We start from the raw sequence: 1,577 nt of genomic DNA, 5'->3' as shown, positions 1-1,577 counted from the left end.
ATATTTAGTAGAGCTGGGCTTTCGCCATGTTAGCCAGGCTAGTATTGAACTCCTAACCTCAGGTGATCTGCCCAGCTCGGCCTTCCAAAGTGCTGGGAGTACAGGCATGAGCCACCATGCCCAGCCATAGCCCCTGTCTTTATTATCCTTGCAAAAGGCCTGCAAGGTCCATCAGGTTATGGGCTGTTACCACACAGCAAGCTCCAGGGTTCAGACAATGATTGGAATAATTTTAGAAAATAAATTAATTGGAAGGTGATTCTTGGCATTAAAAAAAAATGATTTGTCACTTAGCCAAAGGTTCCCTTTGCATAGAGAACTAGCTAGTCCCCCTGAGAGCATAATGGCAGACTTAATGGTAAAGAAATCAAAAACTGTCCCTGTCCCTGTCCCTGTCCCTGTCCCTCTCCCTCTCCCCACAGTCTCCCTCTGATGCCGAGCCGAAGCTGGACCGTACTGCTGCCATCTCAGCTCACTGCAACCTCCCTGCCTGATTCTCCTGCCTCAGCCTGCTGAGTGCCTGCGATTGCAGGCGCGCGCCGCCACGCCTGACTGGTTTTCGTATTTTTTTTGGTGGAGACGGGGTTTCGCTGTGTTGGCCGGGCTGGTCTCCAGCTCCTAACCGCGAGTGATCCGCCAGCCTCGGCCTCCCGAGGTGCTGGGATTGCAGACAGAGTCTCGTTCACTCAGTGCTCAATGGTGCCCAGGCTGGAGTGCAGTGGCGTGATCTCGGCTCGCTACAACCTCCACCTCCCAGCCGCCTGCCTTGGCCTCCCAAAGTGCTGAGATTGCAGCCTCTGCCCGGCCGCCACCCCGTCTGGGAAGTGAGGAGCGTCTCTGCCTGGCCGCCCATCGTCTGGGATGTGTGGAGCCCCTCTGCGTGGCTGCCCAGTCTGGAAAGTGAGGAGCGTCTCTGCCCGCTCGCCATCCCATCTAGGAAGTGAGGAGCACCTCTTCCCGGCCGCCATCCCATCTAGGAAGTGAGGAGCGTCTCTGCCCGGCTGCCCATCATCTGGGATGTGGGGAGCGCCTCTGCCCGGCCGCGACCCCGTCTGGGAGGTGAGGAGCGTCTCTGCCCAGCCGCCCCGTCTGAGAAGTGAGGAGACCCTCTGCCTGGCAACCACCCCGTCTGAGAAGTGAGGAGCCCCTCCGCCCGGCAGCCGCCCCGTCTGAGAAGTGAGGAGCGTCTCCACCCGGCAGCCACCCCGTCCGGGAGGGAGGTGGGGGTCAGCCCCCACCAGGCCAGCCGCCCCGTCCGGGAGGGAGGTGGGGGGGGTCAGCCCCCCACCCAGCCAGCCGCCCCGTCCGGGAGGTGAGGGGCGCCTCTGCCCTGCCGCCCCTACTGGGAAGTGAGGAGCCCCTCTGCCCGGCCACCACCCCGTCTGGGAGGTGTACCCAACAGCTCATTGAGAACGGGCCATGATGACAATGGCGGTTTTGTGGAATAGAAAGGTGGGAAAGGTGGGGAAAAGATTGAGAAATCGGATGGTTGCCCTGTCTGTGTAGAAAGAAGTAGACATGGGAGACTTTTCATTTTGTTCTGTACTAAGAAAAATTCTTTTGCCTTGGGATCCTGT

At 59.2% G+C, this 1,577-nt stretch overlaps 1 annotated feature.

Annotated features, from left to right (window-relative positions):
- Window positions 701-1,320: an enhancer, noted in NCBI's record as "H3K27ac hESC enhancer chr14:78459957-78460576 (GRCh37/hg19 assembly coordinates)". NCBI's record gives its function as "activates a minimal SCP1, AML or CMV promoter by ChIP-STARR-seq in naive H9 embryonic stem cells {active_cell/tissue: H9 hESC(naive)}" and the evidence as "EXISTENCE:reporter gene assay evidence [ECO:0000049][PMID:30033119]".

This window comes from Homo sapiens, chromosome 14 (assembly GCF_000001405.40).
Source record: "Homo sapiens chromosome 14, GRCh38.p14 Primary Assembly".
NCBI classification, from domain to species: Eukaryota; Metazoa; Chordata; class Mammalia; order Primates; family Hominidae; genus Homo; species Homo sapiens.
This window is presented reverse-complemented; position numbering and strand designations above follow the sequence as displayed.